This window comes from Homo sapiens, chromosome 11 (genome assembly GCF_000001405.40).
Source record: "Homo sapiens chromosome 11, GRCh38.p14 Primary Assembly".
Classification (NCBI taxonomy): Eukaryota; Metazoa; Chordata; class Mammalia; order Primates; family Hominidae; genus Homo; species Homo sapiens.
Window position 1 is genome coordinate 94,034,405 of NC_000011.10, and position 27,980 is coordinate 94,062,384.

At 39.2% G+C, this 27,980-nt stretch overlaps 1 protein-coding gene and 1 pseudogene across 1 annotated transcript in view; one reads left to right on the forward strand and one right to left on the reverse strand.

Annotated features, from left to right (window-relative positions):
* The window catches only part of HEPHL1 (hephaestin like 1), a 92,855-nt gene that overhangs the window by 13,051 nt on the left and 51,824 nt on the right, over positions 1-27,980 (forward strand). The window contains exon 2 of the mRNA NM_001098672.2: positions 11,269-11,513. Within this exon, the coding sequence (NP_001092142.1) occupies positions 11,269-11,513 (245 nt within the window). The remainder of the gene's footprint in view (positions 1-11,268; positions 11,514-27,980) is intronic.
* On the reverse strand, positions 19,687-21,702 carry PHB1P16 (PHB1 pseudogene 16; annotated as a pseudogene).

The window sequence follows — 27,980 nt, forward strand, 5'->3', positions numbered from 1 at the left end:
GAAGTAGGAGTGCCTGAGTCACTGTATACTAATGTGATCATCTCTTTGAGGAAATGAAGATGAAGCCCTGAAAATATCTCTTTATCTTTTTGATCTATAGTGTTTTTCCCAACCTTAATGAAGCTAACAAAGATTCATTATTTAATACAAAGGCTATCAGACCTGGTGTGACTCCATCAACAAAGGAATGTGGCTGTAAACCCTATTTGTCAGCAGGTCTGCCCCTTGTCAGAAAGAAGGGAGAGCAATGCAGAAAAGATGACATTTAAGTAAAGAAAGATAATAAAACTTCACAAAGAAAGTCCCAGACTAGACAGGCAAGCAGATGCCACCCTGGGCCACTGGGAGTAGGAGGGCCAGCTGAATCCGATACCAAGGAATAACATCCCCCAAATCAGGCATGAAGTTAAACAGAGCCCTGGTGAGCATACAGTTGTAATGACTCAGTATTCAGAGGTGGAAGGTAAGGAAGGGGCTTGATCCAGTGAGCAGAAGCAGATGAGAAAAATCATGTGGGCAGGTATGATGAAAAGGAATCAGATATAGGATCCTTCCAAAATTGTCTTCCCTAGACACAGATCTGGTCAAATACATCTGTTTAAGAATCTTCAGTGGCTCTTAGTTGAAGATACAATTACATCTAAATGCCTTAGCCAAGCACTCAAATTTCTCCACAGTTTCACTCTTATCAAATTTTCTGGTCCTATAAAGCTGCCTGTGATTTCCTGAACTGACCTCTAATTCTCTCACCTGGATACCTTTCTCAAGCTCTTCCTTCTATTTGAGTAAGGTATTGAGGTGTCTCTCCCTCTGTCCTAAATTCCCATAACACGTTCTTTTCCTACAATTCTTAGCAGTTTCCTTTGTGCAGGTAACAATGGCTTTGTTCCTTCCTCTTGACTACAAACGTACTTATTTAGAGATTGTACCTTTTTTATTATTGTACTCAAAACAACATCTAGCCCAGTACTTTGCATGCTATAAATCCTTAATCTGTACTTGTTGGAAGTCAGCAGAATGGCTTTCAAGCTTACCCAAGACTGAAACAGAGGCGATGCCTGTGGGATCTTCTGGGAGAGTTCCTTTTTTTAAAAAATCTTTTATTATACTTTAAGTTCTAGGGTTCATGTGCACAACGTGCAGGTTTGTTACACATGTATACATGTGCCATGTTGGTGTGCTGCACCCATTAACTCGTCATTTACATTAGGTATATCCTGGGAGAGTTCTTAAAGGGGTCATGCGGGGTGATAGGGGCAGCCAGAGCCTATGACAAAGGCAGGCAGAGGCTTCCTGTTGGTCCCCCTCCAGAGTGGTCATGAAAGTCTCTTTTATTTTATTTTATTTTTTGAGACGGAGTCTCACTCTGTCACCCAGGCTGGAGTGCAGTGGCGCGATCTCGGCTCACTGCAAGCTCCGCCTCCTGGGTTCACGCCATTCTCCTGACTCAGCCTCCTGAGTAGCTGGGACTACAGGCGCCCGTTACCACGCCCGGCTAATTTTTTGTATTTTTAGTAGAGACGGGGTTTCACCGTGTTAGCCAGGATGGTCTCGATCTCCTGACCTCGTGATCCGCCCGCCTCGGCCTCCCAAAGTGCTGGGATTACAGGCGTGAGCCAACGCGCCCAGCCTGAAAGTCTCTTTTAAATTTAATTTTATTTATTACTTTCCTTTTATACCACCACTGAAATGCCTGAAGTTCATGGAAGCCCTTAAGGGCGTATTTCATTAGGGTGACACAGTCATACATGAGTAGAAACTTTATATATTCTGGTCCAGGAAATATGTCCACCTCAGAAGGAGCACTGTCCCTGGGTCTGTCTCTGGACAGAATAGGAATTCAAATGAGGTACAGTTAAAGGCTGAACCCCAAGGGTCTATGAGTTTATAGCTCCACCTGCTGATGTCTGAGGCTGGGGCTTGGGACTAGACAAGGGTGCCTGACCAAGGTATCTGCCTAGGATTCTGACTTGGAGAAGGGAGAGAAGAATCAAAGAGGATCGCTGTGCCCTATGCTGAGAGGGGTGAGGGATGGGAAGAGTTGGTGCAGGACACTCTAGAGGAATTTTTGAGACTTGAGTCATCTCACAACTTTTCAGGCTCCAATGCCATAGAACAGAGCTTCTAGAGTCTTCTAGATCCAACTGGTCTACCCATCTTAGAATTACCCTGACACTCACTGTGGATCTGGAATGAACAAAACTGCATGAATTGGAGGTCAGGAGATTGAGACCATCCTGGCTAACATGGTGAAACCCCATCTCTACTAAACAAAATACAAAAAATTAGCCCGGCGTGGTGGCAGGCGCCTGTAGTCCCAGCTAGTCTGGAGGCTGAGGCAGGAGAACGGTGTGAACCCGGAAGGCGGAGGTTGCAGTGAGCCTAGATCGTGCCATTGCACTCCAGCCTGGGCAACAGAGCAAGACTCCGTCTCAAAAAAAAAAAAAAAAAAAGGGAGGAGCCAAGATGGCCGAATAGGAACAGCTCTGGTCTACAGCTCCCAGCGTGAGCGACACAGAAGACGGGTGATTTCTGCATTTCCATCTGAGGTACAGGGTTCATCTCACTAGGGAGTGCCAGACAGTGGGCGCAGGCCAGTGGGTGCGCGCACCGTGCACGAGCCGAAGCAGGGCAAGGCATTGCCTCACCTGGGAAGCGCAAGGGGTCAGGGAGTTCCCTTTCCGAGTCAAAGAAAGGGGTGACGGACGCACCTGGAAAATCGGGTCACTCCCACCCGAATATTGCGCTTTTCAGACCGGCTTAAAAAACGGCGCACCACGAGATTATATCCCGCACCTGGCTCAGAGGGTCCTACGCCCACGGAGTCTCGCTGATTGCTAGCACAGCAGTCTGAGATCAAACTGCAAGGCGGCAGCGAGGCTGGGGGAGGGGCGCCCGCCATTGCCCAGGCTTGCTTAGGTAAACAAAGCAGCCAGAAAGCTTGAACTGGGTGGAGCCCACCACAGCTCAAGGAGGCCTGCCTGCCTCTGTAGGCTCCACCTCTGGGGGCAGGGCACAGACAAACAAAAAGACAGCAGTAACCTCTGCAGACTTAAATGTCCCTGTCTGACAGCTTTGAAGAGAGCAGTGGTTCTCCCAGCATGCAGCTGGAGATCTGAGAACGGGCAGACTGCCTCCTCAAGTGGGTCCCTGACCCCTGACCCCCAAGCAGCCTAACTGGGAGGCACCCCCCCAACAGGGGCATACTGACACCTCACACAGCAGGGTATTCCAACAGACCTGCAGCTGAGGGTCCTGTCTGTTAGAAGGAAAAATAACAAACAGAAAGGACATCCACACCGAATACCCATCTGTACATCACCATCATCAAAGACGAAAAGTAGATAAAACCACAAAGATGGGGAAAAAACAGAACAGAAAAACTGGAAACTCTAAAACGCAGAGCGCCTCTCCTCCTCCAAAGGAACGCAGTTCCTCACCAGCAACGGAACAAAGCTGGATGGAGAATGATTTTGCCGAGCTGACAGAAGAAGGCTTCAGACGATCAAATTACTCTGAGCTACGGGAGGACATTCAAACCAAAGGCAAAGAAGTTGAAAACTTTGAAAAAAATTTAGAAGAATGTATAACTAGAATAACCAATACAGAGAAGTGCTTAAAGGAGCTGATGGAGCTGAAAACCAAGGCTCGAGAACTATGTGAAGAATGCAGAAGCCTCAGGAGCCGATGCGATCGACTGGAAGAAAGGGTATCAGCAATGGAAGATGAAATGAATGAAATGAAGTGAGAAGGGAAGTTTAGAGAAAAAAGAATAAAAAGAAATGAGCAAAGCCTCCAAGAAATATGGGACTATGTGAAAAGACCAAATTTACGTCCGATTGGTGTACCTGAAAGTGATGGGGAGAATGGAACCAAGTTGGAAAACACTCTGCAGGATATTATCCAGGAGAACTTCCCCAACCTAGCAAGGCAGGCCAACGTTCAGATTCAGGAAATACAGAGAACGCCACAAAGATACTCCTCGAGAAGAGCAACTCCAAGACACATAATTGTCAGATTCACCAAAGTTGAAATGAAGGAAAAAATGTTAAGGGCAGCCAGAGAGAAAGGTCGGGTTACCCTCAAAGGGAAGCCCATCAGACTAACAGCAGATCTCTCGGCAGAAACCCTACAAGCCAGAAGAGAGTGGGGGCCAATATTCAACATTCTTAAAGAAAAGAATTTTCAACCCAGAATTTCATATCCAGCCAAACTAAGCTTCATAAGTGAAGGAGAAATAAAATCCTTTACAGACAAGCAAATGCTGAGAGATTTTGTCACCACCAGGCCTGCCCTAAAAGAGCTCCTGAAGGAAGCGCTAAACATGGAAAGGAACAACCGGTACCAGCCGCTGCAAAATCATGCCAAAATGTAAAGACAATCGAGACTAGGAAGAAACTGCATCAACTAACGAGCAAAATAACCAGCTAACATCATAATGACAGGATCAAATTCACACATAACAATATTAACTTTAAATGTAAATGGACTAAATTCTCCAATTAAAAGACACAGACTGGCAAGTTGGATAAAGAGTCAAGACCCATCAGTGTGCTGTATTCAGGAAACCCATCTCACGTGCAGAGACATACATAGGCTCAAAATAAAAGGATGGAGGAAGATCTACCAAGCAAATGGAAAACAAAAAAAGGCAGGGGTTGCAATCCTAGTCTCTGATAAAACAGACTTTAAACCAACAAAGATCAAAAGAGACAAAGAAGGCCATTACATAATGGTAAAGGGATCAATTCAACAAGAGGAGCTAACTATCCTAAATATATATGCACCCAATACAGGAGCACCCAGATTCATAAAGCAAGTCCTGAGTGACCTACAAAGAGACTTAGACTCCCACACATTAATAATGGGAGACTTTAACACCTCACTGTCAACATTAGACAGATCAACGAGACAGAAAGTCAACAAGGATACCCAGGAATTGAACTCAGCTCTGCACCAAGCAGATCTAATTGACATCTACAGAACTCTCCACCCCAAATCAACAGAATATACATTTTTTTCAGCACCACACCACACCTATTCCAAAATTGACCACATAGTTGGAAGTAAAGCTCTCCTCAGCAAATGTAAAAGAACAGAAATTATAACAAACTATCTCTCAGACCACAGTGCAATCAAACTACAACTCAGGATTAAGAATCTCACTCAAAGCCGCTCAACTACATGGAAACTGAACAACCTGCTCCTGAATGACAACTGGGTACATAACGAAATGAAGGCAGAAATAAAGATGTTCTTTGAAACCAACGAGAACAAAGACACAACATACCAGAATCTCTGGGACACATTCAAAGCAGTGTGTAGAGGGAAATTTAGAGCACTAAATGCCCACAAGAGAAAGCAGGAAAGATCCAAAATTGACACCCTAACATCACAATTAAAAGAACTAGAAAAGCAAGAGCAAACACATTCAAAAGCTAGCAGAAGGCAAGAAATAACTAAAATCAGAGCAGAACTGAAGGAAATAGAGACACAAAAAACCCTTCAAAGAATTAATGAATCCAGGAGCTGGTTTTTTGAAAGGATCAACAAAATTGATAGACCACTAGCAAGACTAATAAAGAAAAAAAGAGAGAAGAATCAAATAGACACAATAAAAAATGATAAAGGGGATATCACCACCGATCCCACAGAAATACAAACTACCATCAGAGAATACTACAAACACCTCTACGCAAATAAACTAGAAAATCTAGAAGAAATGGATACATTCCTCGACACATACACTCTCCCAAGATTAAACCAGGAAGAAGTTGAATCTCTGAATAGACCAATAACAGGAGCTGAAATTGTGGCAATAATCAATAGTTTACCAACCAAAAAGAGTCCAGGACCAGATGGATTCACAGCCGAATTCTACCAGAGGTACAAGGAGGAACTGGTACCATTCCTTCTGAAACTATTCCAATCAATAGAAAAAGAGGGAATCCTCCCTAACTCATTTTATGAGGCCAGCATCATTCTGATACCAAAGCCGGGCAGGGACACAACCAAAAAAGAGAATTTTAGACCAATATCCTTGATGAACATTGATGCAAAAATCCTCAATAAAATACTGGCAAACCGAATCCAGCAGCACATCAAAAAGCTTATCCACCATGATCAAGTGGGCTTCATCCCTGGGATGCAAGGCTGGTTCAATATATGCAAATCAATAAATGTAATCCAGCATATAAACAGAGCCAAAGACAAAAACCACATGATTATCTCAATAGATGCAGAAAAAGCCTTTGACAAAATTCAACAACCCTTCATGCTAAAAACTCTCAATAAATTAGGTATTGATGGGACGTATTTCAAAATAATAAGAGCTATCTATGACAGACCCACAGCCAATATCATACTGAATGGGCAAAAACTGGAAGCATTCCCTTTGAAAACTGGCACAAGACAGGGATGCCCTCTCTCACCGCTCCTATTCAACATAGTGTTGGAAGTTCTGGCCAGGGCAATCAGGCAGGAGAAGGAAATAAAGGGTATTCAATTAGGAAAAGAGGAAGTCAAATTGTCCCTGTTTGCAGACAACATGATTGTTTATCTAGAAAACCCCATCGTCTCAGCCCAAAATCTCCTTAAGCTGATAAGCAACTTCAGCAAACTCTCAGGATACAAAATCAATGTACAAAAATCACAAGCATTCTTATAGACCAACAACAGACAAACAGAGAGCCAAATCATGAGTGAACTCCCATTCACAATTGCTTCAAAGAGAATAAAATACCTAGGAATCCAACTTACAAGGGATGTGAAGGACCTCTTCAAGGAGAACTACAAGCCACTGCTCAAGGAAATAAAAGAGGATACAAACAAATGGAAGAACATTCCATGCTCATGGGTAGGAAGAATCAATATCGTGAAAATGGCCATACTGCCCAAGGTAATTTACAGATTCAATGCCGTCCCCATCAAGCTACCAATGACTTTCTTCACAGAATTGGAAAAAACTACTTTAAAGTTCATATGGAACCAAAAAAGAGCCCGCATCGCCAAGTCAATCCTAAGCCAAAAGAACAAAGCTGGAGGCATCACACTACCTGCCTTCAAACTATACTACAAGGCTACAGTAACCAAAACAGCATGGTACTGGTACCAAAACAGAGATATAGATCAATGGAACAGAACAGAGCCCTCAGAAATAACGCCACATACCTACAACTATCTGATCTTTGACAAACCTGAGAAAAACAAGCAATGGGGAAAGGATTCCCTATTTAATAAATGGTGCTGGGAAAACTGGATAGCCATATGTAGAAAGCTGAAACTGGATCCCTTCCTTACACCTTATACAAAAATCAATTCAAGATGGATTAAAGATTTAAACGTTAGACCTAAAACCATAAAAACCCTAGAAGAAAACCTAGGCATTACCATTCAGGACATAGGCGTGGGCAAGGACTTCATGTCCAAAACACCAAAAGCAATGGCAACAAAAGCCAAAATTGACAAATGGGATCTAATTAAACTAAAGAGCTTCTGCACAGCAAAAGAAACTACCATCAGAGTGAATAGGCAACCTACAACATGGGAGAAAATTTTCGCAACCTACTCATCTGACAAAGGGCTAATATCCAGAATCTACAATGAACTCAAACAAATTTACAAGAAAAAAACAAACAACCCCATCAAAAAGTGGGCGAAGGACATGAACAGACACTTCTCAAAAGAAGACATTTATGCAGCCAAAAAACACATGAAAAAATGCTCATCATCACTGGCCATCAGAGAAATGCAAATCAAAACCACTATGAGATATCATCTCACACCAGTTAGAATGGCAATCATTAAAAAGTCAGGAAACAACAGGTGCTGGAGAGGATGTGGAGAAATAGGAACACTTTTACACTGTTGGTGGGACTGTAAACTAGTTCAACCATTGTGGAAGTCAGTGTGGCGATTCCTCAGTGATCTAGAACTAGAAATACCATTTGACCCAGCCATCCCATTACTGGGTATATACCCAAAGGACTATAAATCATGCTGCTATAAAGACACATGCACACATATGTTTATTGCGGCATTATTCACAATAGCAAAGACTTGGAACCAACCCAAATGTCCAACAATGATAGACTGGATTAAGAAAATGTGGCACATATACACCATGGAATACTATGCAGCCATACAAAATGATGAGTTCATGTCCTTTGTAGGGACATGGATGAAATTGGAAACCATCATTCTCAGTAAACTATCGCGAGAACAAAAAATCAAACACCGCATATTCTCACTCATAGGTGGGAATTGAACAATGAGATCACATGGACACAGGAAGGGGAATATCACACTTTGGGGACTGTGGTGGGGTGGGGGGAGGGGGTAGGGATAGCATTGGGAGATATACCTAATGCTAGATGACGAGTTAGTGGGTGCAGCGCACCAGCATGGCACATGTATACATATGTAACTAACCTGCACATTGTGCACATGTACCCTAAAACTTAAAGTATAATAAAAAAAAAAAAAAAAAACTGCATGAATTGCTCATTCTGGCCCAGAGTGGGTGGATTGAATACTCTGTTAGACATTAATTCCTTTGGGAAAGGCTGGGATAGGTTTCCTTTGGAAAGGATTGGGAAAGAAAAGAAAAACAGAAAAAATTATTAGGGCCACAGAAAAGTAGAACAGAGAAGTGCTCCATGATACCTGACACGTGCTTAACACATTTTTTAAATAAATTATATGAATGATTGAATTCTTGGAACTGAGTAAAAGAATAGAAAGTACAATAAAATAAAAACAGAAAAAATGAAAAGAAATAGTCTTACGATGATGAAAACAAGTAGGAGTTGATTAGAGGGGAAAAAGTCAATAGCCAAATTTAAGAGATTAGAGGAACAAACAACTCTCAGACAGACTTCCTCCTGTGGTTACCTGAAGCTCCAGACTCATGTACCAGTCCCAAGTACACAAGAAAGAGATCCTTCACAAGTCCCTGGATTTTCTCAGATTTAACCAACGAGACACTCTGTGGCTGTCCCTGAACTAATCATGGTGGCCCAGGGTAGGCTGGCTGGGGGATGAATGATATCAATTGGCCAGGTCTGGATCACAAGTCCTGCCCTAACAACAGCTTATTAGAGAAATTTGGCGTGCTTATAGGCTAGGCTGAGGCACTTGCTCCATTAGTGGGGCTGGGGGATGGAACCCCATCCGAAGCACAGAGAATGAGAGTGGGACAGGTGTGCTCTCCCACTCTGGGCACACTCCTCACTCCTCAAAGAGTGGAGTGTGTGTGCCGAGTTGCCAAAACTTAAAAATGTCTTCTACATCAACTTTTTCTATTTTTTTTTTCTTGAGTAACTCTTCATTGTTCGAGAGTATACTGAAGCATTACTTCCTTAAGGAAACTTCCCCTGACTTATCTTTGACTCCAGATTAGATGCCCCAGAACATAATGTGTGTTCTCATAACTCTCCCTTCCAGAATAGGGGCTCCTTCAAGGCAGGGGCTTTGTCTTTTTTCCTCCATATCCCTGGTACTGATGGCAGGGCTTGGTATAATTAATATTTGTTGGATAACTGAGAGAGAATAAATGCACGGACACTTGCAGGAGTGTGTCTCAGAGTAAGATGTGGCCTCTTACCCCCAAAAGGGACACAGCTACATTGGGATGGCTGCACCCAGGAGTGGTGGAGCTTTTGCTCAAGCAGAAGCCAGTATTTATGGAGCTGGAGCTAGGATGGGAGCTCCAAGCCAAGCAAATAGACCGAGAATGGGGAAGGGGGCTTCACCTCTCCAGGAGAAGATTGTCAGGCACCTCCCAAGTGGTGCTATTGTTTCAGGCTTCCAGACACCAGGGACTGAGTCTGCCCTACGTCTAGGTCCCCAGGAAGGCATCTGGTCATCTCAAGTCTTAGAATTCTGTTTTTCTCATGTCCACCCCTTTTCTTCTATTGCACCACCCACTTCTGGTCTCATAACAGTGTCTCTGCCCCTCAACTTTGCTCTGCCTTTTCCTCAACTCCTTTAAAACTTGCACACCACTGCCATAGAAGGGTCCTTGAACACATGATTATTATGTCACCCATTTTGTGAAAAACCTCAGTGAGTCTCAGTGCTTCCAAGATAAATTTTAAATTCTCCAACCCGGAATTAAACTTGTCAGTCTATCTCCGGAACTTACCTGCATCCTTATCTCTCACTCCTCACTTCCTAGACCTGTGCACCAGCCTATAACCTGCACTTCCCATTCCATCTGCACTGCTTCCTCCTCACTGTACATCAGTTGTCCCACTTAGTGTCCTCACTTTTCCCTTTTGTTATCCAATCCTACTTCTCCTTAATTCTTGCAATTGTCTGACCTCTTGTAACCACAGCAATCTTTTCATTCTCCAAACCTTTTTTTTTTTTTTTTTGAGACAGGATCTTGCTCTGTCATCCAGGCTAGAGTGCAGTGGTGCGATCTTGGCTCACCAGAGCCTTAACTTCCCAGGCTCAAGTGATCCTCCCACCTTAGCCTCCCAAAGTGGGATTACAGGCATGAGCCACTATGCCTGGCTATTTTTTTTAAGACGGAATCTTGATCTGTCACCCAGGCTGGCATGATCATGGCTCACTGCAGCCTTGATTTCCCAGGCTTGAGTGATCCTCCTGCCTCAGCATATCAGGTAGCTAGGACTACAGGCGGCCCACCACCATGCTCGGCTTTTTTGTTTGTTTGTTTGCAGAAACAGGGTCTCACTATGTTGCCCAGGCTGGTCTCAAACTCCTAGGCTCAAGAGATCTGCCTGCCTTGGCCTCCCATTGCTGGGATTACAGGTGTGGACCACTATGCCTGGCCTCCCTGAACTATTACGTTCCTAGAAATGTTGAGCCTGTATCTGTTGTATCAATCATTCACTTGACACTTAATTATCTAAGCCCATTATTTGATTACAAACTTTTGTACACCATCTAGTCACAGGCTGAGAATGCAGTAAATGTGCAATGAGTGTTAGTTAAATGAAAAAGCAAAGGGGAACATGTTGAGTGGAAAGGGGCAAATTTGTAGTGTGGCTTTAGAGTTCTTTGGATTTGTTTTAGTTTGATTGTGAATACTGCTTGTGCCCTTTGGCTTGCCACTTCATTGCTGAATCTCATTTCCACATTAGTAAATTGAGGATAATCTTCCGAGCCCTACAGAGGTTGCAGCTTATAGTGAACACCAAATGAGAGGTCATACATGCAATACTTTATAAACTCCTAGTGGTAAGCTATTAGGTCTTCTCTTTTCATTTCAATTAAAAATGTTTTTCTTCTTACTTTTAGACTTGCAACCTTATTTCTCGAAAGAGGGCCCAACAGGATAGGCAGTATTTACAAAAAGGCTGTTTACAGACGCTTCACGGATGGAACCTACTCCATAGAGATCCCCAAACCTCCCTGGCTTGGATTCCTGGGCCCCATCTTGAGGGCCGAAGTGGGTGATGTGATTGTCATTCATTTAAAGAACTTTGCTTCTCGACCTTACTCTCTGCATCCACATGGCGTTTTCTACAACAAAGATTCAGAAGGTAAATATCAATCCTTTATTACTGGGGTCTTGTCTCTATTTCATAAGTAAGGTAACTGTCAGAGTTAAAGAGATTTTAGGAGCACATTGATTACATGGATATATTTATCTTCTCTCTGTCTGCTTCTCCATCCATCTCCATCTATCTATTCTGTCTCTCTCTTCCCTTTCTTGCTTTTTTTTTTTTTTTTTTTTTGAGAGGTAGTCTCACTCTGTTGCCCAGGCTGGAATGCAGTGGCATGATATCAGCTCACTGCAACCTCCGTCTCCCTGGTTCAGGATATTCTCCTGCCTCAGCCTCTCTAGTGCTGGGATTACAGATGTGCACCATCACGCCCAGCTAATTTTTTGTATTTTTAGTAGAGAAAATATGGTTTCACCACGTTGGCCAAGCTGGTCTCAACCTCCTGACCTCAAATGATCCGCCCGCCTCAGCCTCTCAAAGTGCTGGGATTACAGGCGTGAGCCACCATGCCCGGCTCCCCTTCATGCTTTTTCTTTCCCTTATTTCCTACCTCTCCTCTTTCTTGCTCTTCTTTATGTTGACACAGAACTCCTCAGTACCTGCTCCACCACGCACCAGGAACACACTAGCTTTCTTCCTTGTCACTTAGTTGTGCCTGATTTGCACACTAGATAAAGGGCAACATGCTCCTATCTCCGGTAGCAGCCTTGGCTGTGGGTACATTTTTATCAACAGAAGCTGATCCCCACTCCTTGCTTCAGGCGGCTGTTTTTGGTGCTGCCTTTGTGAAGCAGCCCTGTCTTCCTTCTTGTGTGTATGTTAGGAGTTTCATTAGGGCAGTTTCTGGATTCCTCCCTAATTGAAAAATATTAAACAACTTTCTTAGACTTTTGAGACAGAAGTATTTCTCCAACATCAAAAATATTTTTTTTGAATCCTGTATTTCATTCTTGCTCATGACCTGGTGGAATAGGTTGAAAGGTGCTGTACCTGCTAGGTGACTGCTTCTAGGAAATGTGCCAGCACAGTGCCATTAACTCTGATGCAACTCACATTATCATCAAGGAGGAGTTTCTGGGCATTAACAAATATCCCAAGGCAGCCTAACTTGTGAGGCAGCTGCTCCAGCCATGTCTCTATAAGCAGCGAGAGGAGAGAACTCTGATGGTGAACACACAACTGGGATTGCCCTTTGTTCTGGGCTCTTTTCCTCCACCTGGAGTGCAGCCAAGATTTGGTAGTTCTTAGTTGTTGAGGATGAGCACAAAAATTGTGCCAGGTAAACTTTAAGGTGTAACTATGAATGCATTTTCTTTAATATAGTTTTTTTAACTTTTATTTTAAGTTCAGGGATATAAGTGCAGGTTCGTTACATAGGTAAACTTGTGTCATGGGGATTTGTTGTAAAGATTATTTCATCACCCAGGAATTAAGCCTAGTCCCCATTAGTTATTTTTCCTGATCCTCTCCCTCCTCCAACCCTCCACCCTCTGCTAGGCCCCAGTGTGTGTTGTTCCCCTCTATGTTTCCATGTGTTCTCATAATTTAGCTCCCACTTATAAGTGAGAATATGCGATATTTGGTTTTCTCTTCCTGTGTTAGTTTGCTAAGGATAATGGCCTCCAGCTTTATCCATGTCCCTGCAAAGGACATCATCTCATTCTTCTTATGGCTGCATAGTATTCCAAGGTGTATATGCATGTCATTTTCTTTATCCAGTTTATCACTGATGGGAGTTCAGGTTGACTCCATGTGTCTTATTTATGCTGCACGTAGCAAGTAAAGATGTACCAAGATAGTTGTGCCTGCCTTTTCAAATATGGAGAAAATAGGGGCATTTTTAAGTGTAATTTTTGTCTTCAATCCTCCATCTGTTTCTGGAAAGCATACCTTAATAGAGTTAATGGTGTCCTGAAAAATCATTTAGGCCAGTGATTCTAAAGCTTTATAGGGCTACAAATTCTTTTTTCAAAAAAATTGTGGTAAAACATATGAACATAAAATTTACCATTTTAACCATTTTCAAGTGTTCAATTCGGTGGCATTAATTACATCCACAAGGTTGTACAATCATCACCATTATCTATTTCCACAACCTTTTCATCATCCCAAACCGAAACTATATAGCCATTAATCAATACCTCTCCATTCCTCCCTTTTGCTGCCCCACTGGTAACTTCTATTCTATTTTCTATGTCTATGAATGTGCCTTTTGTGTCTGGCTTATTTCACTTAGCATAATATTTTCAATGCTTATGTATATTTTAGTATGCATCATAATGTAATTCCTTTTAAGGCTGAATACTATTCAATTGCATGTATATACCACACTTTGTTTATCCGTTCATCTGTTGATGAATGCTTTGGTTGTTTCCACATCTTGGCTATTGTGAATAATACTGCTATAAACATTGGTGCACCACAGATCTTTCTGAGCATCTGTGAGAGCCATGAGCCCTTGCACCAGAAAAATATGTATGTGCATAATTTTTTTTTGAGATGGGGTCTCGCTCTGTCACTCAGGCTGGAGTGCAGTAGTACAGTCATGGTTCATTGCAGCCTTGAACTCCTGTGCTCAAGTGATCCTCCTGCCTCACCCTCCCAAGTAGCTGGGACCACAGGCATCTGCCACTACACCTGGCTAATTTTTAAAATTTTTTCATAGAGATAGGATCTTGCTGTGTTGTCCTGGCTGGCCTCAAACTCCTGGCCTCAAGCAGTCCTCCTTCCTTGGCCTCTCAAAGTGCAGGGATAACAGTAATGAGCCACTGTGCCCAGCCTGTGGACAAAATTTTGAACCCACTTTTAAGAGGTTCTCAGAGTCCCTGAAAACATTCATAGGTCCTTAAATTAAGAACATTTCAAATGTTGTTTACCCAGGAAACCTTCTCTCTATCCTGTCTGCAGGACTGTCCCATTTCAGAAGTGTGTTGGTTTATCTCATAACACTTAATACTGGCTGGACATGGTGGCTCATGCCTATAATCCCAGCACTTTGGGAGGCCGAGGTGGGTGGATCACCTGAGGTCGGGCATTTGAGACCAGCCTGGCCAACAGGCGAAACCCCATCTCTACTAAAAATACAAAAAATTAGCCAGGAGTTGTGGCACATGCCTATAACCCCAGCTACTTGGGAGGCTGAGGCAGGATAGTCGCTTGAACCTGGGAGGTGGAGGCTGCAGTGAGCCGAGATCATGCCATTGCACTCCAGCCTGGGCAACAGAGCAAGACTCCATCTCAAAAGAAACAAAAAAAAACAAAACAAAAACAAAAACAAACCACACTTAATACTGGTATAGTAGACATACAAATGGCCAACAGGTATATTAAAAAAATGCTCAACATCACTAATCATTGGGGAAATGCAAATCAGAACTACAATGAGATCTCATCTTACCCCAGCTAAAATGGCTATTATCAAAAAGACAAAAAGTACCCCCTCCAAACCCAAAAAACAAAAACAACCAGATACTGGCAAAGACACAAAGAAAAGAGAATACTTATACACTCTTGGTGGCAATGTAAATTAGTACAGCCACTACGGAAAACAGTATGGAGATTCTTCAAAAAATGAAAACTAGAACTCCCATATGACCCAGCAGTCCCACTACTGGGCATTTATCCAAAGGAATAAACCTTTCATTGAGCACCCACCAGGTGCCAGACACTGACTCCCAGGTGCCAGACATTGACTCTGGGTCCTGAGAATAAAAGATGAATGAATCATAGGATGTAGTAAAAAAAAAAAAAAAATCAATGACCATAAGTATAAGGAGTTAATTTCAGTGCTCTTAATTCTGCTCCATTGATCTATATACTTATCCTTGGACCAATGCCACAGTGTCTTGATTACTGTGAAATTCTAGTAAGTTTTGAAATGGAGTCACATAAATCCTTCAACTTTGTTATTCTTTTCAAGGCTTTTTGGCTATTTAGGTTCTTTCCCTCCATATATATATTTGATCAGCTTATTAATTTTTACCAAAAAACATCAGCTAGGATTTTGATAGCAGTCGCTTTGCGTTAATTTGGTTGATAAATTGTAGGAAAATTCCATGTGCATTTAAAAACAAATGGCCATCTTACCAACATTGAGTCTTTCAATCCATGAACATGGAATTTAGGTCTTTAATTTCTCTCAGTAATGTTTTAGTTTTTAGTATACAAGATTTGCATTTCTTTTGTTAAATTTATTCCAAAGTATTTTATTTTTTCTGTTGATGTTATGAATGGAATAGTTTTCTTAATTTCATTTTTGGATTGTTTGGTGCTAGTGCATAGAAAGAATTAATTTTTGTATGTTGAAGTTATATTCTACTTCCTTGCTAAACTTGTTTGTTAGTAGATGTTTAGTGGATTTCTTGGAATTTTCTACATACGGACTTAAGCCATTGTGAATGAAGAGAGTTTTAATTCTTCCTTACCAGTCTGTATACCTTTACGTTTTTTCTTTTGACTTATTACACAGCTATAACCTTTAGGAAAATATGTAATATTAGTAGTGAGACCAGATATTCTTACCTTTTTCCCAATCTTAGGAAGAAAGCATTTTGTCTTCCTCCGTTAGGCATGAGGCTAGCTGTACATTTTTTTCTAGATGGCTTTTTATCAGATTGAGAAAGTTTCTTTCTTTTTTTTAATTTTGAATTTTTGTGGGAACATAGTAGATGTATATGTTTATGGGTTGCATGAGATATTTTGATACAAGCATGCAATGCATAATAATAACATCATAGTACATGGAGTATCCATCACCTCAAGCATTTATCCTTTGTGTTTCAGACAATCCAATTATACTCTTTTCGTTATTCTAAAATGCACAATTAAATTATTTTTGACTATTGTCACCCTGTTGTGCTAGCAAATAATAGGTCTTATTAATTCTTTCTAACTATTTTTTTGTATCCATTAATCATCCCCACTTCCTCCCACCTTTCCACTACCCTTCCTGGCTTCTGGTATCCATCCTTCTATTCTGTATGAGTTCAATTGTTTTAATTTTTAGTTCCCACAAACAAGTGAGAACATGTGAAGTTTGTCTTTCTGTGCCTGGCTTATTTCACTTAACATAATGACCTCCGGTTCAATCCACATTGTTGCAAATTCTTTCTTGTGGCTGAATAGTACTCCATTGTGTATATGTACCACATCTTTATCCATTTGGCTGCTTATTGACACAGTTTGCTTCCAAACCTTGGCTACTGTGAATAGTGCTGCAATAAACATGGGAGTACAGATATCTGATTTCCTTTTTGGGGGGTACATTAAAATGGGGTATGTACCCATACCAGTGGGATTTCTGGATCACATGATAGCTCTGTTTTTAGTTTTCTGTGGAAATTTCAAACTGCTCTCCCTAGTGGTTGTACTAATTTACATTCCCACCAACAATGTACAAGGGTTCCATTTTCTCCACATCCTCACTAGCATTTTTTATTGCCTGTCTGTTGAATAAAAGTCATTTTAACTGGGTTGGGAGAATATCATGTTGTAGTTTTGATTTATATTTCTCTGATGACCAATAATGTTAAGCACCTTTTCATACACCTGTTTACCATTTGTATGTCTTCTTTTGAGAAATAGCTATTCAGGTCTTTTGCCCATTTTTTAATCTGGTAATTAGATTTTTTCCTATAGTGTTCCTTATATATTCTGGTTATTAATCCCAGATAGGTAGTTTGCAAATATTTTCTCCCATTCTATGGATTGTCTCTTCACTTTGTTGATTGTTTCCTTTGCTGTGTAGAAGTGTTTTAACTTAATGTGATCCCATTTGTCCACTTGTGCCTTGGTTGCCTGGCTTGTGGGGTATTACTCAAGAAATCTTTGCCCAGACTAATGTCCTGGAGAGTTTGCCCAGTATTTTCTTGTAGCAGTTTTATAGTTTAAGGTCTTAAAGTTTTTAATCCATTTTGATTTGATTTGATTTTTGTCTATGGTGAGAGATAGGAGTCTAGTTTTATTCTTCTGCATATGGGTATCCAGTTTTCCCAGTACCATTTATTGAAGAGACTGTCTTTTCCCCAGTGTGTGTTCTTGGCACCTTTGTCAAAAGTTAGTTCACTGTAGATGTATGGATTTATTTCCAGGTTCTCTATTCTGTTCCATTTGTCTGTGTGTCTGTTTTTATGCCAGTACCATGCCATTTGGGTTACTATAGCTCTGTAGTATAATTTGAAGTCAGGTAATGTGATTCCTCCAGTTTTGTCCTTTTTACTTAGGATGGCTTTGGCTATTCTGGTTTTTTTGTGGTTCCATATAATTTTAGGAATGTTTTTTCAATCTCTGTGAAGACTGTCATTGGTATTTTGATAGGGATTGCTTTGGGCAGTATGAACATTTTAACAATATTGATTCTTCCAATCCATGAACATGAAATGTTTTTCCATTTTTTTGTCCTCTTCAATTTCTTTCATCAGTGTTTTATAGTTTTCATTATAAAGATCCTTCATTTCCTTAGTTACGTTAACTTCTAGGTATTTAATTTTATTTGTAGCTACTGTAAATGGGATTACTTTCTTGATTTCTTTTTCAGATTATTCACTGTTGGCATATCGAAATGCTACTGATTTTGTATGTTGATTTTGTATCCTGCAACTTTACTAAATTTGTAAGTTATAATAGTTTTTGGTGGAGCCGTTAGGTTTTTCCAAATGTAAGATTATATCATCTGCAAATAAGGATAATCTGACTTTTTCCTTTCCAGTTTGGATGTCCTTATTTCTTCCTCTTGTCTGATTGTTTTAGCTGGGACTGGAGGAAATTCCTTTGTATTCCTAGTTTGTTGAGAGTTTTTCACTAAGTAAGTACTGGATTTTTTTCAATACTTTTCTGTATCCATTGAGATGGTCATGTGGCTTTTCTATATCTATTGAGATATATTGATATATATTGCATTAACTAATTTTTGGATGTTAAGCCAACCTGGCAATCATGGGATAAATCCCATTTGGCCATGGCATAGAATCCTTTTTATATGCTGATGGATGCAATTTGCTAATATTTTGTTAAGAATTTTTGTGTCTAAGTCATGAAGGATATTGGTCTGTAGTTTTCTTGTGATGTTTGTATCTGATTTTGTTGTCAAGGTAATACTTGCCTCATAGAAGGAATTGGAAAGTCTCCACTCTTCTGTTTTCTGAAAGATTTTGTAAAGGATTGGCATGGATTTTTTTTTTAGTATTTGTTAGAATTTTTATATAAAACCACTGGACCTGAATTTACTTTCAGGGAGGATCTTTAGTTACTAATTCAATTTCTTGTTATAGGTATATTCCAATTTTTTATTTTTATATTTTAGTCAGTTTTGGTAACTTGTGTCTTCCTAGAAATTCGTGTGTTTCATCTCAGTTGTCTATTATTTTGGCAGAAAGTTGCCTATAATATTTCCTTATAATCCTTTTAATTTCTGTATGGTCAGTGATGTTGCCTCTTTCATTCCTGACTTTGGCAATTAGTGTTCTCTTTCTCTCTTGGCCAGTCTAAATGAAGTTGTCTCAATTTTGTTGATCTTTTCTAAGTACCAACTTTTGGTTTCATCTATTTTGTATTTTTTTTCTGTTTTCTCTTTCACTGATTTCTGTTCCAATCTTTATTTCTTCTTTCTACTTGCTTTGGGTTTGTTTTTCTCTTCCTTTTCTAGTTTCTTAAGATGAAAGCTTAGGTTATTGATTTGAGAGTTTTTTTTAACTTCTGAGATAGATGACTTAAAATCTAAATTTCCTTTTTAAGCATGGCTTTACCTGTATCTCATAAATTTTGATATTTTTGTCTTCATTTTAATTCAGTTCAAAATATTTTACAATTTCCCTTGTGATTTCTTCTTTGACCTGTGGGTTACTTAGAAGTGTATCATTTTATTTCCAAATATTTAGATGATTTCAAAGATTTCTTTCTGTAGATATTTAATTTAATTCCATTGTGATTGAAAAATATGCTTTGTATGATAGTAATCCTTTTCAATGTATTGAAACTTATTTTATGCCTAGTATGTGCTCCATTCTGGAGAATCATCCATGTGCTCTGTAAAGAGGGTATATTCTACAGTTATTGGGTGCAATGTTCCAGAGACATCATTTAGGTATAATTGGTTCATAGTATTGTTCAAGTCTCCTATATCCTTGCTGATTTTCTGTTTAGGTGTTCTATCAGTTATTGAGAGTTGAGTATTGAAATCTTCAACAATTATTGTTGAGTTGTCTATTTGTTCTTTTTTTGGGGAAGGTCTGAGTGTCATTTATTAACAACAGTTTATACAGATCTATTTTCAAAGCACAGGCACAGAGCCCTGGAGAAGAGCAGTCTCTGAACAAGGAAGCCAGGAACACAGGATGTACACATCTTTGGCAGGCATGTTTAGCCCCAGAAGGATTCAATACTTCAAGTTGGAATTCCATTGGATATTTGAGAGGGACCAAAATTGAGGGTAGAAAGAAGTCTTCAACAGGACTCAGATCTCAGTCTAGGGCTCCTCTTGCACTATCTAAGTCCATCCGGGTATTAGGACCCTGGGGGGCAACAATCAGGCCTACCCATTTCAACAGAAGCAGATTCTTCAATCTACACTCAGTTAGTTCACACTTGTTTCCACTGGTCACACAGTTAAAGAGAATCAGCCTTATAGTAAGAGACAGACCACTTTCTCTCTGACCCTCTCCAGCACCTCTCTTCAGCTTCATCTGTGCAGGAACTGCTGGGAAAATTGAGGCCTACCTTTTCAATTCAGCTGCATGTGCTTTTACCCTCAAATCTTCAATCAACGATAGGATGGAGGCTACATGTGTACTCAGGCTGACAACTGTTCTTCCCAGTCCATCACACACATTGCCCTACCTTAGTTCTGCCAATTGCAGTACCTAGGCTGGAGCTACAGTAGACCTCAAATTGGGACCTAAAGCCAGTCTGCATAGGCACTTGGGAATTTTTCGTAGGGGAGTAGATAAAAAAGTCTTTGAATATGCGAAGAAAGAAAGAGCTTCATTTGATAATTAGACATCTGAAGTGATTTTACTTTTATTTTCTTCACTTTAAGCCAATCATGAAATTTCACAGTGATTTCTCAGGTAGGAGCAGAAGGAAGACACTGTTACTCATTGGGGCTGTGGCCCAGTTGGCTTGAGGAAGTACAGGCAGGGTGGGTCCTTACTGGGGCAGCTGGAGGGGCACAGACTGCTCTGCCGGAAGGTAGGTGATGATATGAGAGCATAAGAACTGGTATGTAATATCATCTGCAGCTTCCAGCTTGTGTAGCTCAATCTGGCCATCACCTGTGGTGGCCAGTGAATTGGCACTCAGCTCAGCTGCCTTGGAGACTCCCTTGGCAGAGATGATGGCCACCTTTTTCTGCTGCTCAGATTTTCCACCATGAATCTGGCCCTCTCTGATTCCTGTTGAGCCACCTGTTTCACTCCCACCACTTCTGTGAACTCCTTCCCAAAGGTCAGATGTGTCAAGGACACATCATCCAAGATGAGCTCAAAGGTGGCTACTTAGTCTGCAAGGTCGTTGCTAACCTGCCTGGAGACCAGCTCTCTCTGGGTGATCAGTTCTCCATCATCAAAGTAAGCCATCAGTAACATGAGGATCTTTTCACATCATCCAGGATGAGCTCAAAGGTGGCTGCTTGCTCCGTAAGGTCGTTGTTAACCGGCTTGGAGACCAGCTCTCTCTGGGTGATCAGTTCTCCAGTATCAAAGTAAGCAATCGGTAACATGAGGATCTCTTAGTGATGTACAGCAGCACACGCTCATCATAGTCCTTTCCAATGCTGGTGAAGATGTGAGGAAGCTGGCTAGTGACAGGCTGGAAGACAATGCACTCTGTGATCTTGACATTCTGTAAATCTTCACTACCAGTGATGACTGGTGTGTTATGTGATCAAGAGTAGCAGTCAACGATAATTGGTTTCTGTACCCATAGGATGAGAAAATGAGTTCCTTTCCATACTGCAATGTCCTGTACTCCATGGAATCTGCCAAAGATTTAGCTCTGTGCTCAGCATCCACATAATATAAGGCAGAGCCTACCGTGCCTCCTGTAACAGCTAAGGCCAGGCCAAACTTGCCAGTGGACTCTAACACTTTGGCAGCCATGTTTCCTTCTGCTGGACCCTTTCGCAGCCAGCTTCCATTCTCTGTTCTTTAAATTAAGTCAGTTTTTCCTTCCTGTATTTTGATGCATTTTTGTTAGATATGAATACATTTATAATGTTATATTTTCCTGATATATTGACCCTTTTATCGCGACAAAATATCTTTGTCTCTAATAGCATTTCTTGTCTTAAAATCTATTTTGTCTGTTATTGATATAGCCTCTTACTTTTGCTATTTGAATTATTTTACTTTCAACTTATTTGTGTCTTTCAATGTAAGACACAATACAAACAGCATATAATAGAATTTTGCTTTTTTTCCCCCAGTTTGACAATCTCTACATTTTGATTGTGGTGTTAGACCATTCACAGTTAATGTAATTATTTATTAGTTTGATTTATATTTGTCATTTTGCTAATTATTTTCTATATGTCTTCTGTATTTTTTGTTCCTCTGGTCCTCTTTTACTGCCTTCTTTTGTGTTAAACAAATATTTCTTAGAATAATGTTTTAATTTCTGTTTATTTTTTAGCCTATATATCATTGAGTTATTTTCTTATTGGTTTGCCTCGGGATTGTAATATGCACCCTAGTTTATTACATTTACCAACTAAATTCTGGTAAAATGTAGAAGCTTTGCTCCATAAAGCTCCATTCTCTCCCCCTCCTTTGTGCTATTATTGATTATCTATCTATCTATCTATCTATCTATCTATCTATCTATCTATCTATCTATAATGCCCTTCTCTAAATAAACCCAGCAATACGTTGTTATATACTTGGTGCTTTATATTACTTTATGACTTTTAAAAAATAAAATAAAGGAAAATATATTTATAGAACCTTTTATATTAAGTCATATATTTCCCATTTCTGGTGCTTTTCATTTCTTCCTGTGAATTCAAGTTACTCTTTGGTGTCATTTCCATTTATTATGAAGTTTGATTGTCCTTTAGTATTCCTTGTAAGGCAGTTCTGCTAGTAACAAACTCACTCAGTCTTTATTTATCTAGAACATCTTGCCTTTAGTTTTGAGGGATCGTTTTGCTGGATATAGCATTCTTGGCTAATATTTCCTCCCTGGCACTTTAGGTATATCATCTCATTGTCTTCTGGGTTCGAATGTTCAGATAAGAAGTCAACCATTAATCATATTGATGCTCCCTTGTACGTGATAGGTCATTTTTGTCTATCTGATTTCAATATTATCTTTTTGTCTTCCTTTCCTCTTTCCACAGTTTAGCAATGATGTATCTATTTGTGGACCTCTTTGTATTTATCAAATTTTGGCTCATTAGGCTTCTTTGATGTGTAGGTTAATGTTTTTCATCAAATTTGGGAAATTTTTGGCCATTATTTCTTCAAATATTTATCCCACACTTTCTTTTTGTTGTTCTCCCCTCTTTCTGCAGACAACTGTTATACACATGTTAGTAAATACATTGTCCCACTGGTCTCTGAGGTTCTGTCCATTTTCTTCTATTTCCCCCACCTCTCTTTTTCAGATAGGATAATTTCTATTGATCTAGCTTTAAGTTCACTGATACTTTCTTTTGCTTTCTTGAATATATTGTTGAGCTCCTCTAGTATTTTATTTAATTTATTGTACTTTTCAATGCCAAAATTCCAATTGGATTCTTTTTAATATTTCTATTTGCTTATTAAGATTCTCTATTTGTTGAGTTGTTTTTCCCACTTTTCTTCAGCCCTTTACACATAATTCCTTTTAGTTGTTTGAACATATTTATTATAGCTGCTTTGAAGTCTTTCTCTGCTAAATTCAACCTATAAGGACATATAGAGAGATAGTTTCCACTGGCTGCCTTTTTTTCTCTATTAATCACACTTGCCTGTTTCTTTGTGTTTCTCATATTTTTGTTGTTCTTGAAAACTGGATATTTTTAAGAATATAATGTAGCATATCTGGATTCTCATTCCTTCATCAACTCTAGGTTATTTTTTTTGCTTGCTTCTTTGTTTAGTAACCTGTGGGCTAAATCTGTGGATTATCTTTCCTATAGTGTGTGGCCACTGAGATGTCTGCTTTTTTTATTATTTATTTTTATTTTTAAGCCTGGCTTCTGAGAGGTCATTCCTATGTCTGCTTAGCTCAGTGGTCAGCAAATGATTTGAAGAAGTTGTGCCTAAGCATCTTGAGCCAATAAATCTTATATTCTCTGCTAGTGGATCTGTGAGTGGTTAGAAAACCAGTGCTGTAGAATCCTACTCCTCTTAGCTGATGTTCAGCAGTTTCAAGCATAAACATTGCTATATGTTTTTATTCAATTTCTAGATACCAAAATGGTTTGTTATTTTTTTTAAATCAATTTTGTCTAACTTTATAGTTGCTTTTTTGGGAAGAGAATTTGCTGACTTCTTTGCTCTCCTTTAATAAGGTTTTGTCTTTGCTACAGCTGTAAGCTTAAAAGTCTTGAAGTCTCTGCTTAATTCAACTTAGTGTTTGCTGTGAGCCAGACACAATACTGGGTTGCAAAGAAGAGTAAATATACAGTTGTTGCTTCCAAAATATCATCCAGGGGAGGGGTAGAGAATGGAACTTAGAAGTGGGTTGAGCGGGTGGGGCTAACATTAATTGAGCAGCTATTTTATGCTAATGCCTGAGCCAGACCTCTTATATACATTCCTTCATTTAATGATAGAATGAACTAGTGCTTTCTTGACCTACATCTGAAATATGCTTAAGTATTAGGACTATTTAAAAATAAATTTTATTGTTTTTTAAATTTTATTTTTATTTTATTTGTTTTATTTCTATAGAGATGGGGTCTCGCTATGTTGCCTAGACTAGACTCAAACTCCTGGCCTCTAGCAATCCTCACATCTTGGCATCTCAAAGTGCTCATATTACAAGTGTGAGTCACTGCCTCACCTGGCCTGGTTTTTGCTTTAATATAAAAAAGTATAAAGAAGAGGAAAATTGCACACAATCTGATTCTTTACATATTCACTAAATTAGTTCAAAATAGAAAATTAAAGTGCCAAATGAACATGGTTAGAAGTTCTTAAGAGTAAAGAGGTATAAGAAGAAAAGTTAAAGCCCTGCTCACTTGTCTTTCACTCCAAAGGCAATAATCTTAAACAATTTCTATGAATTTTTCACAGACTTTTTTCTATACATATATTAGCATGTATGTATGTGTATATCCTTGCTCATTTGTATAAAAGGGATTATGCTATAATGCTTTCTGTTTTTCACTTTTTACTTTGTCTTGGAGATTTTCTCATATTAGTACATATAGTGAGACTTGCATTTAACAATTGTGCAATATCCCACCATATGAACATATCAGTTCAGTGCTGATAATTATTTAGGTTGCTTCCAGTTCATGTAATTTGAAAAATAGTTTCAAGTATGTTTGTACAATACATTATTACAAATAAAATTGCTGGTTGTATATACTTTCTTTGAATAGGAATTGGCAAGCTGTCTTCTGAAAAACTGCAAATTTTACTCTCTGCCATTTGTTTATGAATGAGCTTAATTCTCCCATGACCCCATCAATCCTCAAAATTCTCAAATCTGATGGGTAAAAAAATTGTGTAAGTTTTAAAAGCTCACACAGCCTAGAACATATATAAGCAAATAAATAGTGTTTTATACTTTCATATTGTTAATGACACCATTGATCAAAAGCCTTAATAAATTCTTTTGAAAATGACTTTCAGAACAACTTAATAAATTACCTATCTCCAAGTCACGTCTTCCTTTATATTTATACTTTATTTTTGATTCCCAGTGATATTCTTCAACTTGAGTGGTGGCACAAAGGCTCTGTTAGGGGATTCTCTCTCCTCATTTCAGTAATAGCCTTCAATAACTCCTAATAATAATAAAAACAAGGCCCATTAAGTAAATTGTGAACATAAGAATTTCTAGAACAATTGTTATTTGTAGTGATTTGTATCATATAATCAATTCAAAATAAGTGATCTCAATCGAAACTTCGAGACAAGTCCACTGCTTACCCACTCTCACTCAACTCCTGAACCTCTGTATATAAATCTCTCCATATAGAAAAGAATCTTCCAAGCCATGCATTTTATTCAGAGGGCTTTGGACAAAGGCAGTGTAAGGTAATACCACTCAGTCATATTTTATTATATATATATATATATATATATATATATATATATATATATATATATATATATATATACACGCACTGGGGTAGATCTTGAAGATACGATCATGAGCAAAAAGAAGCCTGGTATTTGCTTTAATGCAGCTTACAGTCTAACATGAGAAAGAGACATTAGTGAAGCAATCATACATACACACATATGCACACATGATATATATATGTGTGTGTATATGTATACACATATACATACTATATATGTGTGTAAATATATATATGGTGTGTGTGTATATATACACTTACATATACACACATATAATTAAAAACTTAGGCACATGTTATAAATGAATAAGATAGTTTACTGAAAGGCTACTATATACCAGGCACTGTGATAAGTGCTTTATAGATATCATATCCTACAAGTCTCAACAACTCTTAAGAGGTAGGCATTTATGATTATCACCACCTAACAGATAAGAAGCTAAGAGTCATAGAAGAGAAGGAAATTGCCCAAGCTGCATACCTAACAAGTGATGGAGGTAAGATTCCTTTCCAGGCAGTCTAATTTCAGTGGCTGTGAGCTTAACCAGTGGCTCTACTGCCCTTCTCTCAGTGTGAATGCATTTTAGATAACTGACCCAGTCCAGGGAGTTCAGGATTGCCTGAGCCAGACCATGCTGGACCTTCTAATCTATATTAAACACATTTGACCTTCATCCCAACACTGATGGGAAGCAATGAAATGATTTTAAACAGGGAACAATAGAATTATATTTAAGATTTGAAAAGATCACTCTTGTGGTAGCTTGGAAAATGGATTAGAAAGGCTAGAGGAAGGGAAGCCAACTAGGAGGTTACTACAAAGTCCAGGTGAGAGATGATGGTAGTTCAGACTAGGGATGTGATGTTGGAGATCAACATAAATAAATGGATGCATTTGAGAAGAAGCGGAGATAGGACCCTGTGGTATTTTGGAAATGGAAAGAGAGGAAAAGGAAGAAAAATGCTTCCTTTGTTTCTGGCTTGTGGCTGAATATTGGTAGTGCCTTTTACTGGGAGTAGTGGCAGTGGCTGAGGACCAAGCTTGGTAGAGGAGAGCTAATGATCCCTGGAAAAGGTTGCATTTGCAATCTTCTTGAGATTTACAAGTAGGGATGTCAAGCAGACAGTTGAATATCAGTGTAAAGTGCAGAGGTAAGGTCCTGGCTGGAGATAAACATGGGGGTCACTGGTGTGTGGCTGATGGGTGGCACTGTGGGGATGAGTGCTATCAGCTGAGGAGAAAGCACAAGGCATGGAAGGAAGAAGCCAGCGTTATACTTTGAGGATTTCTGACAAAAAAATGGCAGATACAAGAGAATGAACTGGAAAAGTGGACTGAAAAAGAGTGGTCAAAGAGTATGATGTGATGTCCTATGAGTCAAGGAGGGAGGGAGCTGACAATAGTATCAAATGCTGCTGAGATAACATAGTTTTTTTAAATGTCATTTGGATTTAATGGATGAGGGGCAGCTCTCTGGATTTTTTCCTATGTCCTGTTCCTCTATCACGTTAGATAAGTATCAAGTGAGAAAGCGGCAAATACATTAATTTAACTTTGAGTACAAATGATTCTGTCAAAATACTATTGAGTATTATATTCTCACCTCGTATTGAGAGAAAATGTAAGAAATTGTTTTAAAAAGAATGTTTTTGCATCTTTTGGAAAGCATTCTTGAAAACATTGAAGACATAATTCATTACATTACTGAATAATTTATATATAATAATTTTCTTGAAAATACTCTCTCAGAATCTAGTACTAGCAAAAAGTTCCTTTCTCTTAATGAACTAGTAAGTTTCCCTTTACTGGACAATGAAAGAGTATAAGCTAATTATATTGACCTAATATATATTAACTCTATATCTAACAATATAACCTAAATATAATCAGGAAATTCAGAGCTACAGTTAATATGAATGGGCTGTAACTAATTATGTAGCATATAGGTTTATTTGTAAAGTGGCTCATATTCTTTTTAGAATAAAAGTAATTAAAAGTATGTAAAGGAAAGTTAAGTGAATAAATAAGTAGAAAATAGTTTGTACATTATATTGCCAGTAACTTTGATGGGAAGTCAGGTATAAATAGATTCAAATTTGACTCAAGAACATGCTAGGAGTGTTACCTTAACTTAATAAAAAATGAATATTAATACTTTTCATATGGGATTGCTTTGAAAAGTAACTGTGATAATGTATACAAAGTATCCACTATAGTTGGCACATAATAAGGGCTTAACTGTTGTTGCTTTCTCATGACATCTTTCTCC